Below are 22866 nucleotides of genomic sequence, written 5' to 3'. Positions count from 1 at the left end.
CAGATTAATCCCCCTCCTACTGCCACTACCACAGCTGAGGGTGCCACCACCTGATGCACATAATACGATATCCTTCTGCCTGGGGGTTCTTCCCACTTCAAGTTCACTTCAAAGACCGCTACTGGACTAATTTTTGGCCTTTTTTTTTAAAGAGTCTCAAACTAATTTTTTTCTATCCTAACCTAAAATTCAGATGCTCTATGGAAAAAAGTTTAAGCATAATGTTTATTTATTTTTTTTGAGACCGAGTCTTGCTCTTTGGCCCAGGCTGGAGTGCAATGGCGTGATCTTGGCTCACTGCAACCTCTGCCTCCTGGGTTCAAGCGATTCTCCTGCTTCAGCCTCCTGAGTAGCTGAGAATACAGGCATGTGCCACCACGCCCAGCTAATGTTTGTATTTTTTAGGGTTTTGCCCTGTTGGCCAGGGTGGTCTAGAACTCCTGACCTCAGGTGATCCACCCGCCTTGGCCTCCCAAAGTGCTGGGATTACAGACGTGAGCCACTGTGCCCGGCCAAGCATAATGTTTAATAAGACAAGCGAATTGCAGAATAAAAGATTCATAAAGACTCCACATGACACAAACAAAAACAACACTGATCTTCACCTTAGAAAAAAAAAAATGGCTGGGCGTGGTGGCTCTTGCCGGTAATCCCAGCACTTTGGGAGGCTGAGGTGGGCGGATCACTTGAGGTTCAGTTCGAGACCTGCCTGGACAACATGGTGAACCCCGCCTACACTAAAAACACAAAAATTAGCCAGGTGTGGTGGCGGCAGCCTGTAATCTCAGCTACTTGGGAGTCTGAGGCAGGAGAATTGCTTGAACCTGGAGGGCAGAGGTTGCTCAGTGAGCTGAGATCTCACCACTGCCCTCCAGCCTGGGCTAGAGTGAGACTCTATCTCAAAATAAAAAAAAAAGAAACAAACAAAAACTCTAGTGATTATATTGGTGTATAGTGACTGCTTTCCAGAAAGGGCAATGGAGGTAGAATTTTACTATTTAACTCCAGATATTTATATATGTTTTATTTATTTATTTTTGAGACAGAGTCTTGTTTTGTTGCCCAGGCTGGAGTGCAGTGGCACAATCTCGACTCATTGCAGCCTCTGCCTCCCAGGTTCAAGCTATTCTCCTGCTTTAGCCTCCCACGTAGCTAGAATTACAGGGGCCCACCACCAAATCCAGCTTATATATTTAATTTAAAAAGAAAATCTCTTTACTTCTGTTTTTTTTTTGGAGACAGGGGTTCTCTCTGTTGGAGTGAAGTGGTTTGATCTCAGCTCACTGCAGCCTCAACTTCCTGGGCTCATCCCACCTCAGCCTCCTGAATAGCTGTGACCACAGGTATGAGCTACCACGCCCAGCTAATTTTTGTATTTTTTGCAGAGATGGGGTTTTGCTATGTTGCCCAGGCTGGTCTTGAACTCCTGAGCTCAAGCGATCCACTCACCTTGGCCTCCCAAAGTGCTGGGATTACAGGCATGAGCCACCATGCCCAGCCTAAAAGAAAAATTAATAATGGAGTTTTTACAAAGTATAAAATAAAATGTTAAAAAATTTGATTGCTAACATAGTTCATATATATGTATGCACACTGAAAAATGACTTTGGTGAGGTACATCAAAATTTATCAGTGATTATTTCTGGGTGCTAAGGCTGTGGTTGATTTGTCATCAAACACTTGAAATTTCAAATATTTTCAAATTTTCTACAATGACTATGTATGTTTAACCAGAAAGACCTAAACAAGGTACATAGAGGAAAGACTGTTTTAATAGACAAAATACAGATATAAGAGAAGTATTTTTCAAAAACAGAAACTCATTGAGAGGCTGAGGAAGCACCACAAATACTCGGTGTGATCAATTATGGATAAAGAGGTTTTTTCATGAAATGTTGCCTCTCCTATTCCTTAAAGGTACCTAAATAATTTAAATCCAAAGTATTACCATTATCACTCATTTTGGTGAGTTCACAAAAATGAAATAGCTAAAGCACCCTCTTCCCTTCTCCTTTAACATTTTTTGGTGAATAAAACAATTTACTAATAAATTTTGCTAATAAACACATGCCCACAAAAATGGTAAAAAAGAAAAAAAGAAACAAACAAACAAAAAAAACCTCTTTTATATCCACTAAAGAAGAAATGAATGTTCTGAAAAGGCAATGTTTTAGCAGTGAAAGTAACTTTTTTTCTTTTACATTTTATTCCTTCAACAGTATCTTTCTTCATCTATTCTGTTAGTGCTACAAAATCATACATAGGTTATCAGTGCAGATATGCTGTAGGGTATATTGGTTTGCTCAGTTTAAAACATATTCTTATTGGTGTAAAAACACTTAACACAAGATCTATCCTCACAGAGTTTTAAGTGTATAATACAATATTTATCTGTAGACAAAGTCTTGTACAGCACATCTCTTGAACTTATCTTGCAAAATCAAAATTTTATTTATTACATTTTATTTCTCTAAGCTGTTAGTAACTTCATTTTTAATAACGAGAGAAGTAAAACTTTACCAAAAGATATAGTTCAGATCGACAGACTTATTATCAACAATTATTTCAAAGGATAGCTGAGGCAAACAAAAAACTGAAAATGTCAAACTAGAAGCTTAGGAGAAATAAAATGAATACAAGAGAGGTATCACAAGTAGGACAAAAGGGACACTAGAGAAATACTAGGATACAAAAATGAGGAAAAACAGACTGTGGACAGAAAAAAGGGAAAAAGACTTAAAAGTAGGTTTTCTTTTTCATAATTTCATAAAGATTCTGTGAAACATTTTTTAAAGGTTCTTAAAAAAAGGCTATAGTCTTTTCAAGTTCCTGTCTGTATGCTACCCCTTTGAGAATATAGATCAAAGACAAAGGTATTATCGTTTTGAATTTCAAGATAAAAATAGTGAAAATGAAAGGGAAAATAGGAGAAGAACCGGTAAAAATGAGAGCATTTTGAAGATATCCAACTCACTTGCCCACTTTTGAAGGCTGCTGGTATCAAACTAATTTTCTCTCCACACTAAGGACTGAGAAAAATCTCATGAGTTGTTGTAAAATTAGTGTCCCTGACTAGTACTTTGCTCGCTTAAAGTGACAGTATATGTTGACTTGTATCAGGCTGTGCTCAATCTTCATAATGATAAGTAACAACACAATCCAATCCAAACACAAAGTTGCCTCAGTGAACTGAAAGGATGAGCTGAAAGTAGACATAATAATTCAAATTCTACCTTTCTACACAAGGAACCTCTGTAAGAAAACAATTTTGCTAAGCAACCCAAGCTAAGTAAGACATTTTTCAAAACAAAGACTCACTTTGTGTTCTTATAGGAATCTTATTCCTTATAATCTTGTAATAAAATGAAGGCTACTAGAGTCCATTTAGCATCTAAAACATAGTAAGACTGTATGGATCAAGACCCTGTAACCTAGAGTTTAAGATACACTTTCCATCTAAGATCTAGAAATTTATAAACTTGTTGATATGTAGTAATTTATAGTTTTATGTCAGGATACTGGATTTCAGATGAAAATCTACTAATAAACAGTGATAGACATCATGACTTCTCTGCTAATGTGTAAAGTTTTACTGGGCTATAGCTACTTGTGGACAGCTGAAGGCATGAATAAAAACCAGACTAAAGGGCTGGTTAGTGTAGGCCAGAGGGTTTCAATTCTTGGCTCCCACTAGAATCACCTGGAGGGCATCAAAAAATAATGTTGCTCAGGCTTAAGATCAGGGCCAGACCAATTAAATGAAGATATATAGGGTTGAAATTTCATAGTGTCTACATGTAAAATAAAAACAAATACATATTCTTATCCTTTTTAGAAGGACACTGTGAAGACAAATGAGATTCTAGAAATGTAAAAACTCTGCAGTATTTCTTTTTGAGAAGGAGTCTCGCTCTGTCATCCAGGATGGAGCGCAGTGGTGCCATCTCGGCTCACAGCAACCTCTGCCTCCTGGGTTCAAGTGTTTCTCCTACCTCAGCCTCTTGAGTAGCTGGGATTACAGGTGCCCGCCACCACACCTGGCTAATTTTTGTATTTTTAGTAGAGATGGTGTTTCACCATGTTGGCCAGGCTGGTCCCCAACTCTTGGTCTCAAGTGATCACCCGCCTCGGCCTCCCAAAGTGCTGGGATCACAGCCATGAGCCACCGTCCTTGGCCCTTCGCAGTATTTCTTGATAACAAAACACTATTTGAGGAGTGTTTACCATTTTCCTGACCCTGGGTAACATGATCATGAATTTCTTTGGCTTTCAGTTTCACAACAATGCTGTCCACTATGGTTTTTTAAAAACTTGGTTATCATATTGAGAAGCCAAGAGAAAGGAAAAAAAAAATCCCCCAAAACAGGAAGATAAACTCATTCATCATCTTATGAATCCACCAATCCAGCTGCCTTTCCATCTTTTTCATAACTTTGTCATCTATTTCGGATGTTATTTTAGGACTTTCTAGAGTGGCCTCACATACACATCTGTGAATTTCCTCTTTTTCTGGATGTACTGTATTGTTGATTCGTTAACACTGAACTGATGGCCAGTACCAACTCATGCTTGAACACACAGCAGAGCTTTCTTGTGCTTAGTAACACAAGACAGAAAATCAGCATTGTTTGGGAGCCATTTCAAACAAAAACCCAAAAAGTGTGAACAACGTGGCACTAAATAGACTGAAAAGGACAATTGTTTATAATAGAAGAACTGAAACAGGGAGGCAGCATGTGCCTTGTTTGACCTCAGATGGGAATGTGCTTGCCTGATGATTCAAACTTTTTTGCCACACTGAACGTGTCCACGAATGAAAAAGAAAGTACAATAAGTATCAATTTAGGGGTTACAAATAATTTCAGCAAATAGGCAGATTTGCAAATACAAAGTCTACAAATACTGAGAATCTGCTACACATATTTTTCTTTATGTAACTCTGAAAATTAATGTGATTTATTTTTCATTTCTCAGCTGAGTGTTCTTGTAAAAATGTAGACTTCAAATTCAGTGAGGTAAACAAAAAGATAACTTTTCTTAAACCCAAAAAGGTAGTGTCATTGAAAAGGTATTGGTTTGACGAGCCAGAAAAGAACAATGACGTAGATTCATGTTACACAGAAAACATATTAATCAGGAAAAAAGTCACACTAAAAAAATTCACATCTTACTACATTTAGTCTAATTGGGAGTAAGAGCCAAAATAAAAATATTTGTTGCTTTAAGGATAAACTAATGATTCTCTATGATTTCTTCAAGCTTTCATACTTGCTTTTTGGAGAAGTATTCACTCATTACAATGATCTGGAACAGAGCTCAGAAACAGGTTAAGTGCTAAAGACATGTGAACTATTAAAATGGATGTCACAAATCCTTCAAAGACACCATAACTGTTTTTCTTTTTTTGTTTGTTTTAAACACGAGAGCTACCCTTTTAATAAAATTTCAAGTGTACAACACAATATGACTATAGGCAAAATGTAGTATAGCAGATTTCCAGAGTTCATTCATCTTGCATAAAAGAAATGTTATATCCACTGAAGAGTAACTCTCCACTTCCCCCTCCCTGCAGCCCCTGGCAATGACCATTCTACTCTCTGCTTCTACAAGTTTGACTATTTTATTTTCTGTATTTTTGAGACAGAATTTTGCCCTGTTGCCTAGGCTAGAATGCAGTGGCACTATCTCGGCTCACTGCAACCTCTGCCTCCCAGGTTCAAGTGCTTCTTGTGCCTCAGCCTCCTGAGTAGCTGAGACTACCGGCACCACCATGCCCGGCTAGTTTTTTGTATTTTCAGTAGAGATGAAGTTTCACCATGTTGGCCAGGCTGGTGTACACTCCTGACCTCAGGTGATCCACCTGCCTTGGCCTCCCAAAGTGCTGGGATTACAGGTATGAGCCACTGCGCCCAGCCAAGTTTGACTATTTTAGAGGTCATACTGTGGAATAAGGCAGTATTTGTCCTGTGACTGGCTTATTTTACTCAACATAATGTCCTCAAGGTTCATCAACATTGTTACATATGGCAGGATTTCCATCTTTAAAGGCTAAATAATGTTCCATTACAGTACATATATAACCTTTTTTTCTTTCAGAGAGGGTCTGGCTCTGTCGCCTAAGCTGGAATACAGTGGCGTAATCATGGCTCACTATAGCCTTGACCTCCCAGGTTCAAGTTATCTTCCCACAACTCAGTTTCCTGAGTAGACTAGCTTCACAGGTATTTGTCACTATACCCAGCTACTTTTTAAATTTTTTGTAGAAATGGGGTCTCCCTGTGTTGCTCAGGCTGGTCTCAAACTCCTGGGCTCGAGCCATCCTCATGCCTTGGCCTCAAAAAGTGTTGGGATCACAGGAATGAGCCATACCACATTTTCTTTATCCACTCATCCACCAATTGACATTTAGGTTGTTTCCACATCTTGGCTATTGTGAATAATGCTGCAATGAATATGGAGATGTAAATCTCTCTTCGAGATACTGATTTCAATTCTTCTGCATAAATATCTAGAAGTATTTGGAATTGCTGGATCAAATGATAGTTCTATTTTTATTTTTTTTAGGAACTTCTGTACTGTTTTCTATAGCAGCTACACCATTTTACATTCCCAACAACAGTGTTACAAGGGTTCCCTTTTTTCCACATCCTTATCAATACTTAATAGCTTTTGATTTTTTTGATAACAGCCATTTTAACAGGTGTGAGGTGATATCTCATTACGGTTGTGATTTGCATTCCTCTAATGATTAGTGATATCAAGCATCCTTTCTCTGGCCTGTTTGCCATTTGTATGTCTTCTCTGGATAAATTTCTATTCAACTCTTTAACCCTTTTTTTTTCTGAATTACAGGATTTCCTTAATATTTTGGATATCAGATATACAGCTGGCAAATTTGCAGTTTCCATATACAAAGTTCTAGACATGTAATTCCTTCCACCAGTCCTGGAAGGTATTTCTGTCTTACAAATGAGAAAACAAAAGTACAAATAAATAACTTGTCCAAGGTCACACTGGCTTGAAGACAGGTTTTTATGATTCCAAAGCCCATTTTTCTAACCATATCATGCCACCTAATAACTAATATTTAAAGGCATGAGTTTTAGTTATCTGAAAAATTAGCTTATTGGACCAGCATATTCCCTGGTATCAGATCAGTGGGATTCCATGATGAAGAGTCTCAATGAATATAGCATGTATTTAGAGAAATTTCTCAGATAAATATCTGAGAAAACAGCAGAAGACTAACCAATTAGTCATCAGTTACAAGTACAGTGTGGTGAAATACACAAACAAATACAGGCTGGTGGAAAAAAGTTCGGTATATCAGTTGTAATATTAAATGTGAATGGATTCTCCCATCACATGTCAGACATGATATGCTCCTACAAGAAACCAAAACCAAGTTGTAGACATTTTATATTCAAAACTATTTATAAACTCAATTTGAGTGTGTGTATGTGTGCTATTTTGTTCATGTTGCCGTACCATATCTGTGTTAGTATATGAATAAGCACAAGAAGGAAAGTGAGGAAGGAAGGACAGAAACCAGGAGAGAAACACGGGTTAACTAGCATGTGTGTGTGTGGGAAATGGTCCAGTGGTAGGGTAGGGAGAGAGAAGGTTAGGACAATAAAAAACTGCCAGGATGACATAATATTACTTATATAAAATTATGTTTGTCAAGAAATTAGAAAAACAAAACAGGATGTTTTATACTAGTATTTACTAATCTGATGTTCATGATACATTATTATGAAAAAAATGCAGGCTGGGAGCAGTTGCTCATGCTTGTTACCCTAGCACTTTGGGGGTAGAGGTGAGAGGACTGCTTGAGCCTTGGAGTTCGAGACCAGCTTGGGCAACATAGTGAGACCCCATCTCTACCAAAAATATAAACAATTAGCTGAGTGTGGTGGTGCGTGCCTGTGGTCCCAGCTACTTAGGAGGCTGAAGTGGAAGGATTGCTTGAGCCTGGTAGGAGAAGGTTGCAGTAAGCCATGATCATGCCACTGCCCTCCAGCCTGGGTAACAGAGTGAGACACCTCAAAAACAAAGAATAAAATGGAAAAGAAAAAAAAAACGCAAGAGAATGTGTATTTCACTAAAACTCACCACCCAATTCCTCATATGAGTATTTATGCGTGTATTGTTTGTGTAGCCAGGAGGCCAATGTGACAGAACACACCCTAGCCTGTGAATGCTGGTTACCTGGGGATGGGGGGTGGAGCAGGGCATGATGATTACCTTTCCCTTTACACATCTCTGTATTGCTTCACTTATATTAACAGCATTATTTGTTTTGTAATTTTAAAAATTGATGAAAAATTTAAAAAGCATAGAGAGGTTATAGAAACAAAATAAAATTGAGTCCAACAGTTAATGATGTCTATGTACATATACACATGTGCAAGCTGGCCTTTGACATTTAAGAAATATGTTCGGCTGGGAGCGGTGGCTCACGCCTGTAATCCCAGCACTTTGGGAGGCCACGGTGGGCGGATCACGAGGTCAGGAGATTGAGACCATCCTGGCTAACATGGTGAAACCTCATCTCTACTAAAAATACAAAAATTAGCCGGGCGTAGTGGCGGGCGCCTATAGTCCCAGCTACTCGGGAGGCTGAGACAGGAGAATGGCGTGAACCTGGGAGGTGAAGCTTGCAGTGAGCTGAGTTCGTGCCACTGCACTCCAGCCTGGGCGACAGAGTGAGACTCTGTCTCAACAACAAAAAACAAAAACAAAACAAAACAAAACAAAAGAAATATGTTCATTCAGTATAGATTTACCAAGCTCTGACTCTATGCTAGGCCCTGTTCCAGGTGCTTGAGTATGTATGTATGTATGTATGTATGTATGTATGTATGTATGTATGTATTTATGAGACAGAGTATCACTCTGTTACCTGGCCACCATGCCCAGCTGGTGCTTCAGTAATTAGATCAACCCCTGCTTTTCATGTAAATATACTGAAATATGTAGGATAAAATATAATTTATATAAGCCACTAAGTCTAGATTTCTGAATTGCCTCTATTCATTAGCCCTTAGATGGTAATTCAACTATCTGATTAATAAAAATTACCAATAGTTGACTTCTTAAGTGATGGTTCCAAGTAAACTTGAAATATTATGGTGATTTGTCTACTAAATATTGCCCAGAAGCAGAAATGACATTTTCTGTAAAGAATGCTGCTATGTTTTAAAAAATTAATCAGTTAATTATGAATTTTTTTTCACCCAAAGAGATCTTTAATGAATTTTTTTTTTTTTTTTTTTGAGATAGGTTCTTACTCTGCTGCCCAGGCTGGAGTGCAGTGGCATGATCTCGGCTCACTACAACCCCAACCTCCCAGGTTCAAGCGATTCTCCTGCCTCAGCCTCCCGAGTAGCTGGGATTACAGGCACCCACCACCGCGCCCGGCTAATTTTTGTATTTTTAGTGGAGACAGGGTTTCAACATGTTGGCTAGGCTGGTCTCAAACTCCTGACCTCAAGTGATCTGCCTGCCTTGGCCTCCCAAAGTGCTGGGATTACAGGCGTGAGCCACTGCAGCCAGTCAGAGAACTTTAATTCTGTACATGACTTGACTTCCTACCAAGTAACTAGTCCAAAATGTACCAAGATGAGTCTGACAGAATACACATTCCCTGCTTCACGTACAACTCATTCAATTTCTCACATTGGTACTCTATACTTGGAACAGATCAATGCTAGTTTGTCACATGGTGACCAATCACTACTGTCAGCTTACATCTACCTTATTTCAAGTTTATCTGCCTCATTTGGGTCCAAGCTGCGGGTAATTCCAAAGACTTTTTTTATTTTATTTTTTTGAGGCAGAGTCTCCCTCTGTTGCCCAGGCTGAAGTGCTGTGGTGCAATCTGAGCTCACTGCAACCTCTGCCTCCCAGGTTCAAGCAATTATCCTGCCTCAGCCTCCCGAGTAGCTGGGATTACAGGTGCTCGCCACCACGCCTGGCTAATTTTTGTATTTTTAGTAGAGTTGAGGTTTCACCATGTTGGCCAGGCTGGTCTTGAACTCCTGACCTCAAGTGATCCACCCGCCTCAGCTTCCCAAAGTGCTGGGATTACAGGCGTGAGCCACCATGCCCAACACCAAAAACTTTTAATCAAGATTCACATTGGAGGTTGTTGGAGAATCTCATCTATCTTTTAATTTCTGTGCTGCAGGCTATCCCTCAGGCCAAAGCTAGCTCTTAAAAATTTTTTATTTTCTTTGTGAAGCATGCCCAGGGACTAAAACCAAGGATCTTTCCAAAGTGTAGTCATCAGCACTCGCTTGACAGCTTTTGGATTCTGCTCTTATGCTTAAAATAAGGCTCACTATAGGGGCAGGAACATAATTATGCTCTCTCACCTGTATCCACACTCTTATGGCAAGCTCTCTCACAAGTCAAGCACACAAAATCTTTTTTGTTTCAAGGGACTGACAAGTACAACAAACGTGAAAAATTGTGAAAGCCTAAGCCATCTTACATAGGTTCTTATAGGCTTGATATCCTTCCCTTATGAAAGCCCCTCTTCCCAGTAGGCAGGCCTACAAAGGTAACTTAATACCCATCTCTCAGCCTCTGCCCCACATAGAAATGATGACTTTGGCAATATTCTCTGGTAAATAAAAAATTAAACTTTGGTTCAAAAAGTAGATAAATCATCAATTTTCTCACTCCTCATTTCACCCTACTTTAGCACAGATTTCTGCCTCTAACTGACAGTTTGGAAACTGAACTGGCATTCTAGATCCCAAACTTAGATTTATCAGGGTAAAAAACTCAGATTCGGAGTATTTTTTCCTTATTTATAAAATTTAAACTCACACAACAAATGCGAAATTTAACCAAGTACATATTTCTATTTTCATTTTGTAGCAGTTTTGCATCAAAGGGGCTGGGATTAGCTAATCTTAAAACTCCCACTAGCAAGTCATGTGGCCAAGAAGTATATAACTAAACTCCCACTGTTTTCCTTATAGATAACATTTCTGACTGTGGGTAACTATATAACAGGTATTTAAAGCTGTTTTTCAGGATCCAGGGGGCAGCTCATGTCCAGTCCAAGCTGGTTGAGATCATGAACCCTTTAACTAGGCCTGCACAGGTGCCCAGAGAGTGACCTTTTGGCGTCAGAGGGCCTAAAACTACTCCATCTTCAGATCATGCTAACGCCATTTTCTGCACACACGTCCTATGAAGAACCATGTAGCTTGATTATGCTTGTGCAGAAACCCCAATTACCTCATTTTTCCAACCTGCCAATCAACTTTCCCACCCATCAATCACATTTTCTCACGCTTTAGACCACCCTACTTTAAATACTTTAAAGCAGATGACTATTATTGATTGCTGGCCAGATAAATACTTCCTACAATCATTCAGCCAATGTGAGAATTACATTAAATACAATGAGAAAATAATGTTAAAATTAAGTACCCACAAGCCCTATTTTCAGAGGCGGATTTGAGATTTGTTTTCCCATCTCCTTTCACAAGCAGCCTTGTGAATAAAATATTTTCTCTTTTGCAAAACCCGTTGTCACAGTGATTGGCTTGCTATACGCAGGCAGAATGGACTTGCTTGGTAACACAGGGATGCCATGAGAATAAATGAATGGTTTGGTAATACATTCTGAACAATGAACTAAAGGGACCCAATTCAATGAAAGATTAGTATTTTCAACACATGGCTTGTCAGAGACATTTCTGTTGATGGAATACTTCATGACTTGCTTTAATGTAGAACTACTATCATTTACTTCTCTTACATGCCTTCCCTCCCTTACTGATGAAAAATGAGCTTCCCAAAGCCTGAAATATTCCAGCAAGATATTTCACTGCTAAAGTTATACACAGGAAATACAATTTTTCCAGACCCCTATAAAAACCTTAAATATTACACTCCAACTGTTACTCCATTTGTGTGAGTAACAGAAGATTGGCCTAATTTTTAGGCACAAGAGAGATCTGACTTGCCTTTAGCTTTTATATGGACTGCTTTCCTTGTACTGATTTTACTGAAAGAAATATACATATATATTTTTTTGGAGACAGAAGTTCACTCTTGTTGCCCAGGCTGGAGTGCAACGGCGCAATCTTGGTTCACTACAACCTCTGCCTCCCGGGTTCAAAAGATTCTGCTGCCTCAGCCTCCCGAGCAGTTGCGATCACAGGCGTACGCCACCTTGCCCAGCTAACTTCTGTATTATTAGTAGAGACGGGGTTTCACCATGTTGGCCAGGCTGGTTTTGAATGCCTGACCTCAGGTGATCCACCAGCCTTGGCCTCCCAAAGTGCTGGGATTATAGGCGTGAGCCACCGTACCTAGCCGAAAGAAATATGTTAAAAAGTATACTGTATTATAGTTTTTTTCTATTCTACATTAGAGAATGTTCTCAAGTAATGCCCCTTAGTCAACTTTAAAACTAGCAACAGACCATAATCCTGGTAAACAATGAGAAGCTGGAAGATTAGGTTACTCAGTCATACTCACCTTAAATTGTTTTGTTGACCAGGTGGAATGACACTATAGTAAACAGGCATTCCTGTTGTGGGCATAGATCCTTGATTAGACTGATTAGGGAACATAACAGGCTGTTGATAAGTCTGATGGGGAATTCCTTGAGAACCTTGAGGCAGTGAAACCTAAAATTTGAAAGACAATTTCAAGAGAAAAAGGTTTTTTTCAAGGCCTTGTAAATGTTTATGTTTTCAACCTCCATAAACTTTATTTTTTTCGAGATGAATTCTTGCTCTGTTGCCCAGGCTGGAGTGTAGTGGTGCAATCTTGGCTCACTGCAACCCCTGCCTCCTGGGTTGAAGCAATTCTCCTGCCTCAGCCTCCTGAGTAGCTGGGACTACAGGCATGCGCTACCATGCCTGGCTAATTTTTGTATTTTTAGTAGAGATGGGGTTTCACCATGTTGGTCAGGCTGATCTCAAACTCCTGACCTCAAGTGATCCGCCCACCTTGGCTTCCCAAAGTGCTGGGATTACAGGAGTGAGCCACCATACCCAGCAGCCACCATAAACTTTTAAAGCATGAGCAGTCAGAAATAAGCTAACACTGCCAACAGGCTTTCCTGTTAGCCACAGCACTACCACTTTATTTCTATGTCAGCTATTGCTTCTGGCTAGCATTTGTAAATGTATGTACTGTAGGCTGATGCATTAAATTATGAAAAGGTTAAATTATGAAAAAGAAACTTTCCACATAAGGATGGCCATTTGATATAGAAAGAGTAACACAGTTTACCTCAGGTAGAACTAAGTAAAAATCAGGCAGGATGGCAGTGAGACGCAGTGGGTCATAAAAAGTGAGAGCTTTGGAGCTTAAAATACCTACATGTGATATCAGCCATCTATCTAAGTGATATTGGGCAAGTGACTATTCTGAGGCTCCTTAGCTTCTTATCAGAAGAAATGGAAACACCACCTCCATTACAAAGGAGGTATTATTTCCATTATGAGATAGCACAACTAAAGTATCTAGTTATAGTAGGCATTCAGTAAACAGTGTATCTTTCAGTTCTGTTTTCTATATCATCTAAATGAAATCACACGAACACAATTCTGTACTACCACTCTACAGTTTCTAAGATAGAAACAACACAGGCATAAAGGGTTCTTAATTTACAAATGTACCTCAATATTAGAGTTGGATTACAGTGATTTTGTTAAATAAAGCCAATGTATATTCAATGGCCTGAAGGATCTTTATTTAAAAAAAAAAAAAAAAAAAAAAAAAAAAAGAAAGCCGGGCTGGGCACAGTGGCTCACACCTATAATCCCAGCACTTTGGGAGGCTGAGGTGGGCAGATTGCCTGAGCTCTGGAGTTCGAGACCAGCCTGGACAACATGGTGAAACCCCGTCTCTGCTAAAATACAGAAATTAGCCGGGAGTAGTGGCGCGTGCCTGTAGTCCCAGTTACTCAGGAGGCTGAGGCACAAGAATTGCTTGAACCAGAAGGTGGAGGTTGCAGTGAGTTGAGAATGAGCCACTGCACTCTAGCCTGGGTGACAGAGTGAGACTCTGTCTCCAAAAAAAAAAAAAAAAAAAAGCAAGCCAGTATAACCACTATAACCACTGATGATGATGATGACGTTAATAATAGTAATGATAGGGAGGGTTAACATTATTGGGTACTTATTGCCATGTTTTAAGTTCTGTTCTAAGTGCTTTATGTGTATTATCTCATTAAGGCTTCTGAACAACCTAAGAAGGTATTTTTCAGGAGAGATGGGGTTTCACCATGTTGGCCAGGCTGGTCTCAAACTTCTGACCTCAGGTGATCCACCTACCTTGGCCTCCTACAGTGCTGGGGTTACAGGCATGAGCCACTGCGCCAGGCCTGAAGGTACTTTTATCATCTATTTTATAGATGGGTAAATACAGGGCAGGAATTTGAATTCTGACTTTCCCACTTACTAGCTATAAGACCTTAGATTAGTAAGTAGGAAAGTCAGAATTCAAACCCTGTGGCTCCAGAAACTCAGTTCTAGAATCACTTCACTGTTCTCTATACCTGGCTCTATGATTTAAAAGGTAATGACTGACTGGGTGCAGTGGCTCATGCCTGTAATCCCAGCACTTTGGGAGGCCAAGGAGGGTAGATCACTTGAGGTCAGGAGTTCCAGCCAGCCTGGCCAACATGGTGAAACACCGTCTCTACTAAAAATACAAAAATTAGCCAGGCGTGGTGGCATGCGCCTGTAATCCCAGCTACTAGGGAGGCTGAAGCATGAGAATCACTTGAGCCTGGGATGCAGAGGTTGTAGTGAGCCAAGATCACACCACTGCACTCCGGCTTGGGTGACAGAGCAAGACTCTGTCTCAAAAACAAAGAGAAGGAAGGAGGGAGGGAGGGGGAGAGAGAGCGAGCGAGAGAGAGCAAGCGACCGACCACTACTAGAGAGTGTACAGGCATAGAATACACTGGAGGGAAAGTCAGAATTCAAACCCATGCCCTCTGACTCAGGAGGTGTAGGACAGATGACTTTTCTGGCTTATTTTTTAGATAACAGTTTATCACTACCTAGCTTGTTTATCAAATGTAGTAGGAGCCACACTTTAAAGCAGATGACTATTATTGATTGCTGGCCAGAGCAATACTTCCTACAATATTCAGCCAATGTGAGAATTACATTAAATACAATGAGAAAATAATGTTAAAATGTAAAAATGTATGGTGTAAAAATTATGACCACTACCTTAGCTCTGGAATATTTTCAATATCCAGCTAATTAAAAAAAAACTATACTAATTAGGCTGTAATTTGTTTAAAAATGACATTTCTCTTACTAGATGTAAGCCCCCAAAGATTAAGGGCAGATCTTACATGCTGAACTCTGTATTGGATTAGATAGTAGAACCAGAGTCTTTGAGAAAGGAAGGCTTCAGGCTTGGTGTCAATCCTGTTTAATGCTTAACTATGGGGAAACAGACGAAGGGCAGGCTCATGTGCCTAGGCTCAAGGATGGAGGAGAAGGGGTCAGAAGCATGGGGGATGTGAGAGAAAATGAAGATGGAAAGCCCAGTTTTCATGAAGTATCTTTTCTTTCTTTTGTAGATGTGTTCTATGGTAAAGGGTTCTCAAAAGTGGACATACACTTGGTGCTCAACAACATTTGACAACCTCACATTTCACACTTTAATTTCAATTTTCTGAAATTATATGGAATATGCTTGCACCTTTGCTTATATCCTTCTTCATTCTCAGAATGTCATCTTAACCAATTTACGCCCATCATTTTCTTTGAAGAGCTAAAGGTTTCTAACTTCCCAGAAGGCTTCAAATCAAGTCCTTAACCTGTTCATTGCTGTATTTCATGATCCTCTCAGTTACTAGTCTGTACACTATCACCAATTTGTTTACATGTGTTCAGATAAAATACACAAAATACGTGTATTTTATCTTCCCAACTAGGCTATTCCCTATCTTCCCAACTAGGCTATTCTCTCCTTGTTGAGATGAATGAAAGTGGTCTTTGGAGTTCTCTCTTTTTTTGTGACTGAGTCTCTCTTTGTCACCTAGCCCGGAATGCAGTGGCGTAATCTCAGCTCACTGCAACCTTCGCCTCCCGGGTTCAAGTGATTCTCCTGCCTCAGCCTTCTGAGTAGCTGACATTACAGGTGCCTTCCAACATGCCTGGCTAATTTTTGTATTTTTCAAAGAAATGGGGTTTCACTATGTTGGCCAGGATGGTCTCGAACTCTTGACCTCAAGTGATCCACCCACCTTGGCCTCTCAAAGTGTTAGGATTACAGGCACGAGCCACTGCACCTGGCCCTGGCCTGGAGTTCTTAAAATCAGACTCAGCTATGAAAAACAATGAGGCTAATAAAATAAACCCTCTTGCAAGTTACTCCATAAATATAAAGGTAAAACAAATTTTTGAAAAATGTGTCATATTATATTGAAGACACGTGCTTATTCATCAAATAATAGGTATTTCTGCTTTAGAACTATAAATTAAAATCTGTAACATTTTGTTTTTATTTTTGAGATGGAGTCTGCCTGTTGCCCAGGCTGGAGTGCAGTGGTGACTCACTGCAACTTCCACTTCCTGGGTTTAAGCAATTCTCCTGCCTCAGCTTCCCGAGTAGCTGGAATTATAGGCCCCGCCACCTTGCCTAGCTATTTTTTGTGTTTTTAGTAGAAACAGGGTTTCACAATGTTGGCCAGGCTGACCTGGAACTCTTGATCTCAAGTAATCTGCCTGCCTAGGCCTCTTGAAATGCTGACATTACAGGTGTGAGCCACTGTGCCTGGCCTAATATCTACAACAATTTAAAATATGAGACATATCATCGCTTTTTGGGATGGAGAGGAAGGAAAAAAATCAGTCACAGCACAGGAAACTGCACATACTTCCCTATTCTACAACTACGGATTCATGGTCTATACTGTATCTCACTATTTCAAATATCTACCACTAACCTCTATTTTCCCTCCTATTCCTCTCTCCCAGCAATGAGGACTTTCTAAAGAGCTGAGGAATAGAATAAGACATTTGCTCATCTACCTATATTGCTGGAAACATAAGACAATGCTAGACAATATTAACTTGCCAATATCAATGTGTTTCAGATCCTAAACATTAATAAATGAATAATGCAATAAAATGAGGATAAAACCAAGCTTCTACGACTAATAAAACTCTTGACTATAAAGTTGTATATTACAGAAGTGTTTTTCCTGTATTAAAAGGTTGTATATTACAGAAATGTTTTTCCTGTATTAAAAGGAGAGCATAGAAGATGTATTGTAGTTGTGCACTTAATTTATTCGAAATCATCTCTACCCAAAGTACATAAAAGAGACAATATACCTGATATGTTGGCACTGAAGTATAGGGGATGACCACTCCTTGAATCTGATTTCCAATGCTGTTGGGTTGGCCACTGACTAGGCTCTGACTCTGGGGTTGCTGAACTCCAACTATTCCTTGGTAGTTTTGCTGCTGGTTGGGTATAACTTGATAACCTGTAATGGTACAATGAGTTAAATCCTGCTCTGAATTCATTTCATCTAGTAAGATTTAAAAAAAAATTTAAGCGAGTACTTTTATGCTCTAAAATGATAAAATTTTGATTAAATGGTAAGCCCCTAAAACCATCTATTATGAAATAACATTTTAGCCCAAGTTACCTACATTCCCTCACTAAAATATATTGAAATAAAATCTGCCTACAAAGATTTCTTCTACAATTGCAAAGATTATAGGGTCACACACTTAGATAACATAGGACAATTACTATTCAGGGCATATTACAATCGATTATGATAACTAGTTTCTCAGGACCAGGAGTTGCTACATAACATGAGCCCAGAGTAAATGGAAAATATGTAGGGCCCTTTGTTAAAAAAAAAAAAAAACAACAACTATTAAGAATTTCAAGTTGGTAACAACAGAATATTAACACAAGCATGGGGCTCTATGCATCTGCAGAGGTTCCATTCCCATGAAACTGTCCCTGCTGGGGATTAAAAAAAAAAGGCAGGGGAGAGAGCCACTTTTGAATGTGTCAAAGACACAGGCAAATGGAGTTATACTGTAATTTTTTAGATTATTTCTTCATTGTATGATTAAGGTCACTTGACAAATCATTAAACAACTCAAGTAATCTGCTCAAGGTCACAAAGCAAACACCTAAACTGAATGTTGGTAATTTAAGTGGTAAGTTAAGTGCACAAATTTACTTTTATCAAGTAAACTTATTTACTTAACAAGAATCTACAATGATAAGCTCTAAGTAGAGAATACGAATTGTATTTTGTCTCCTGATCCTAAGAGGATTCTTTTAGGTATACTAATTAGCTAAAGACTCATGTAAATTACTAGATGCTACCCACAAAGTTTTTTATTTTTTAAAGAACTAGATAAAAATAATCATCTAGCTTCAGAGTACTGAAAAGTTTTTACAAAGATGAACTGAACTAGAATACCACCTATACAGACTTTAACAGCTAAAGGGCAATGAAATTGTTTCCCTGATAATACCATAAATACATTTTGTTATCAGTTTTCATTTATATCCTCACTAATTCCTAAAGCAACAGACATGGCAATTTCAAGTATTGATTATAGACAGCAGCATCACTGTAGTTGTCTGGTAGCCTTAATAATTCTGCTCAGGGACTAAATAATTGAATAAAATCTAGCATCTATCTTCTTTAAAAATATAACCACAAGGTATATCCAGTAACAAAGCAACACATTAAAATTAAGAAACTAAAAATCTTGGCCAGGTGTGGTGGCTTACACCTATGATCCCAGCACTTTGGGAGATGGATGGATTGGGTGGATGGAAGTGGGTAAGCTCAGGAGTTTGAGACCAGCCTGGGCAACATGGCCAAATCTTGTCTCCACAAAAAAATACAAGATAGTGCCACTGCACTCCAGCCTAAGCGACAGCGCAAGACCCTTGTCTCAAAAAACAAACAAACAAAACCAACCAACCAACCAAACAAAAAACCAAAAACACAGAAAAAAACCAAAACCAAAGTAAAAATTCAGTTATAGTGAATCCCTTAACAGTGAAGGGTTTTTGTAAAATGATGTTATTTCTATGGCAAAACTACTTTATGGCCATGTTTCCAATGACTTCCTTCTCACCAGTCTAACTTTGTAAAAACAGAATACTGTGTATTCTAGTTCTCATCTGTAATAAAGTGATTGATAATATGCTGTTTTCTAAACCTTTATTCCTTGTGAATTTCCTATACTACTTAAACTTACAGGCAGGTAAAGGCAGAGAACAGAATAAACTTCTTCCTTTTTAATCTAACAATTAACATTTAACACTATTTTCAGTTCATCAAATGACAAGTATTTCAAATTTATACCCCAAATTCCAAACACCATTAAAACATACAATGACAAATTTCCACCCTTAAAAAATAACACAGGAATGGAAATGAAATGTGAACATGAGACCTTTTTTTGTGTTGGAAATGCCACCTCAACACATACACGTCTATTGCAGCATCAGAATTTGGGTTCTGTATAGACTGGAATAATAACTTCTTATGACAGACTTGGCAGAATTTTTGTTTCACTGTACCCTCGAGCTCCTCATCTCAATGAATCCTCCCCACCTTAGCCTCCTGAGGAGCTAGGACTACGGGTGTGCACCACCATGCCTGGTTACATCATGAAAGCTGCATGAGTAAATTTCCAATGGTATCTTATTCTTTTTGTTTGTTTGTTTTCAGATGCAGTCTCTATCGCTCAGGCTGGAGTGCAGTGGTGCAATCTTGGCTCACTGCAACCACCACCTACTGGGTTCAAGCGATTCTCTTGCCTCAGCCTCCCCAGTAGCTGGGGCTACAGGCGCGCACTGCCATGTCTGGCTAATTTTTGTATTTTTAGTAGAGATGGGGGTTTCACCATGTTGGACAGGCTGGTCCTGAACTCCAGACTTCAGGTGATCCGCCCACCTCAGCCTCCCAAAGTGCTGGGATTACAGGCGAGAGCTACCGTGGCTGGCCTGGTATCTTATTCTTTAAAGCAGCCTAATCTCCATTAATATCCATGCCCACTAATTGCCACACACACACACACAAGCACACACACAAACACACGCACTCTCTTACAAACACCACGTACATTTTGAAAATTTGACATGAAATATAAAACAGTTGATCTCAGCATCTAGTCATTTGTTACAAATAGTAGTAAAAAGGACACCATCTGGGTTAGATAAAGATAGATATGACATGGTCCCTATCTTTGAAATTAGGCAGTTTTAGCCACCATACCGTATGAGGATAGCAGTATAAATAGAGTCTTATGAAAAAAAGAGGAAGAAATTAGTCCTGACTGATATTTATAAAGGTAGTGACATTTGGGCTTGGACTTAAAGGAAAAGCTCATTCCAGCAAAAATAAAAGGTTTGGAAAAAGTAAGACAGTTAATATGTTTTAATGGGGAATAGTCATGAATGAATGAATATGGTATGTGAAGTGATAAGTGGAAGATGAAGGTACAACAGAATACTGGTGAAGAAGCAAAGGTTTTACACATAGAAGAGTGATAAGAACTACCAGGAAGTTCTAGATTTTAAAGACTGTGAAAGGAGAAAAAACACTAATATCTTAGGACTTCATTCAGAAGTAGCATAAATAAGCTAGGATTGAGTTTTTGAACACAGTGGAGCTATTAAAAATAATGATGCCAAGCACTTAAAAAAATGCCTTCGCTAAGAATCTATCTTAATTATTAATCCCTTTACGATTTTGTCCATTCTCTTATGCCACATCTCATAAAACTCTACAGGTAACATAAACATTTCTGGTTAGTTGTTCTCTCATGGTTTGCGTATGCCTTTTTTTTTTTTGAGACAGAGTCTCACTCTATCGGCCAGGTTGGAGTGCAGTGGCACCATCTTGGCTCACCGCAACCTCCACCTCCTGGGTTTAAGTAATTCTCATACCTCAGCCTGCCGAGTAGCTGGAATTACAGGCGTGTGCCACCATGCCTGGCTAATTTTTGTATTTTTAGTATAGACAGGGTTTCACCATGTTGGCCAGGCTGGTCTCAAACTCCTGACTTCAGGTGATCTGCCCGCCTCGGCCTCCTAAAGTGCTGCGATTATAGGCATGAGCCATGGCGCCCAACCTGAATTTAAATTTTTAGGTAACATTGGGCCAGCGCGGTGGTTCACACCTGTAATCCCAGCACTTTGGGAGGCCGAGGTGGGTAGATCACCTGACGTCAGGAGTTCAAGACCAGCCTGACCAACATAGTGAAACCCCATCTCCACTACAAATACAAAATTAGCCAGGCGTGGTGGCGCATACCTGTAATCCCAGCTACTTGGGAGGCTGAGGCAGGAGAATCACTTGAACCTAGGAGGCAGAGGTTGCAGTGAGCTGAGATCGCGCCATTGCACTCCAGCCTGGGCGACAAGAGCGAAACTCCATCTTAAAAAAATTAAAATTAAAATTAAAAAAATAAATTTTAACGTAACACTGGTTTACAAGATTAAACACATTTAATCACCTTTTCATTAAAATGACACTCCCACGAATACAAATCACATCAGACTGGAATTTCTAGATCACTCATTAAGTCTCTCCTAGAAAACTGTACAGCAGCTAAATCACAGATTCCATATAGTTAGCCTCAAAGTGCTTAGGAAGAACTCAAAGAAAGAATACAAACTGTTTAACTTTATATCTAGTATGTAAAGTTTGTAATGAAGGTATTATTTGAATATTTTTACTTTTAATTTATTTACTTACTATTATTTTTTGAGACAGAGTCCTACCCTATCGCCCAGGACAGAATGCAGTGGCGCAATCTCACCTCACTGCAAACTCTGCCTCCTGGGTCAAACGACTCTCCTGTTTTAGCCTCCTGAGTAACTGGAATTGCAGGTGCGCGCCACCTCACCTAGCTAATTTTTGTATTTTTAGTAGATTCAGGGTTTCGCCATGTTGCCCAGGCTGGTCTTGAACTCCTGAGCTCAGAGTGAACCGCCCCTGTTGGCCTCCCAAAGTGCTGAGATTATAGGGGTGTGCCACGGCACCTGGCCTGAATATTTTTAAAAATGTAGACTTAATATCTTTTATAAAAACCTTATAGAGCATAAAAAAGACTTTTATAGTAGAAAATTTGGAAAAAAATACAAACATAGAAAAAGTCTATATGGGAAAATAATCACTTATAGATACTCCCCATTTACATTTTTATATGTGGCTAGCCTAATTTTCCATGCAGAGGGCAACATATATATTCATTTTCATTATTTATAGAAATGGGGTTATATGACACAGACTATTTCAAAATCTTTTTTCATATAATGCTTCCACATCTTATCAATAGAAATTGTACAATGTATGGGAAGAAAGTATTTAAGTAATTTTCTTCAAAACATATTTAGACCTCAAGTTTAACATCAAACAACTCAACTGATCTTTACTGTACTTTCAGGATGAAGGCATGTGTTGAGTAGCTAAAAGGACAAAAAATATAAACATTTTAGAGCAAACTCTGTCAGCTTCCTGTGTCTGCTCTAGAATTTGGCCCCAAATCCCTGTCTTTTCACTTAAAATATAATTTAAAATTATATTTTCATTTTAAATTTAAATTTTCATTTAAAATATAATTATCTTTGCTTCAATGATACCACAAGCTAATCTTTTTTGTTGGTTTTTTTTTTTTTTTTTTTTGAGACTGAGTCTTGCTCTGTCTGCTCTGTCGCCCAGGCTGGAGTGCAGCGGTGCAATCTCGGCTTATGGCCACCTCAACCCCCTGGGTTCAAGTGCTTCTCTTGCCCAAGGAGCTGGGATTACAGGTGCGTGCCAGCATACCCAGCTAATATTTGTATATTTAATAGAGATGG

At 39.1% G+C, this 22866-nt stretch overlaps 1 protein-coding gene across 7 annotated transcripts in view; it reads right to left on the bottom strand.

The window, feature by feature from the left end:
* Positions 1–22866, bottom strand: part of R3HDM1 (R3H domain containing 1) — a 193786-nt gene that overhangs the window by 32438 nt on the left and 138482 nt on the right. For all 7 annotated transcript variants that reach the window (NM_001378107.1, NM_001354200.2, NM_015361.4 and 4 more), the window contains 2 exons: positions 17346–17500; positions 12508–12659 (listed from right to left, as the gene is read on the bottom strand). In NM_001378107.1, coding sequence (NP_001365036.1) covers positions 12508–12659; positions 17346–17500 — 307 coding nt within the window. The remainder of the gene's footprint in view (positions 1–12507; positions 12660–17345; positions 17501–22866) is intronic.

Source organism: Homo sapiens, chromosome 2 (genome assembly GCF_000001405.40).
Source record: "Homo sapiens chromosome 2, GRCh38.p14 Primary Assembly".
Taxonomy (NCBI): Eukaryota; Metazoa; Chordata; class Mammalia; order Primates; family Hominidae; genus Homo; species Homo sapiens.
This window is presented reverse-complemented; position numbering and strand designations above follow the sequence as displayed.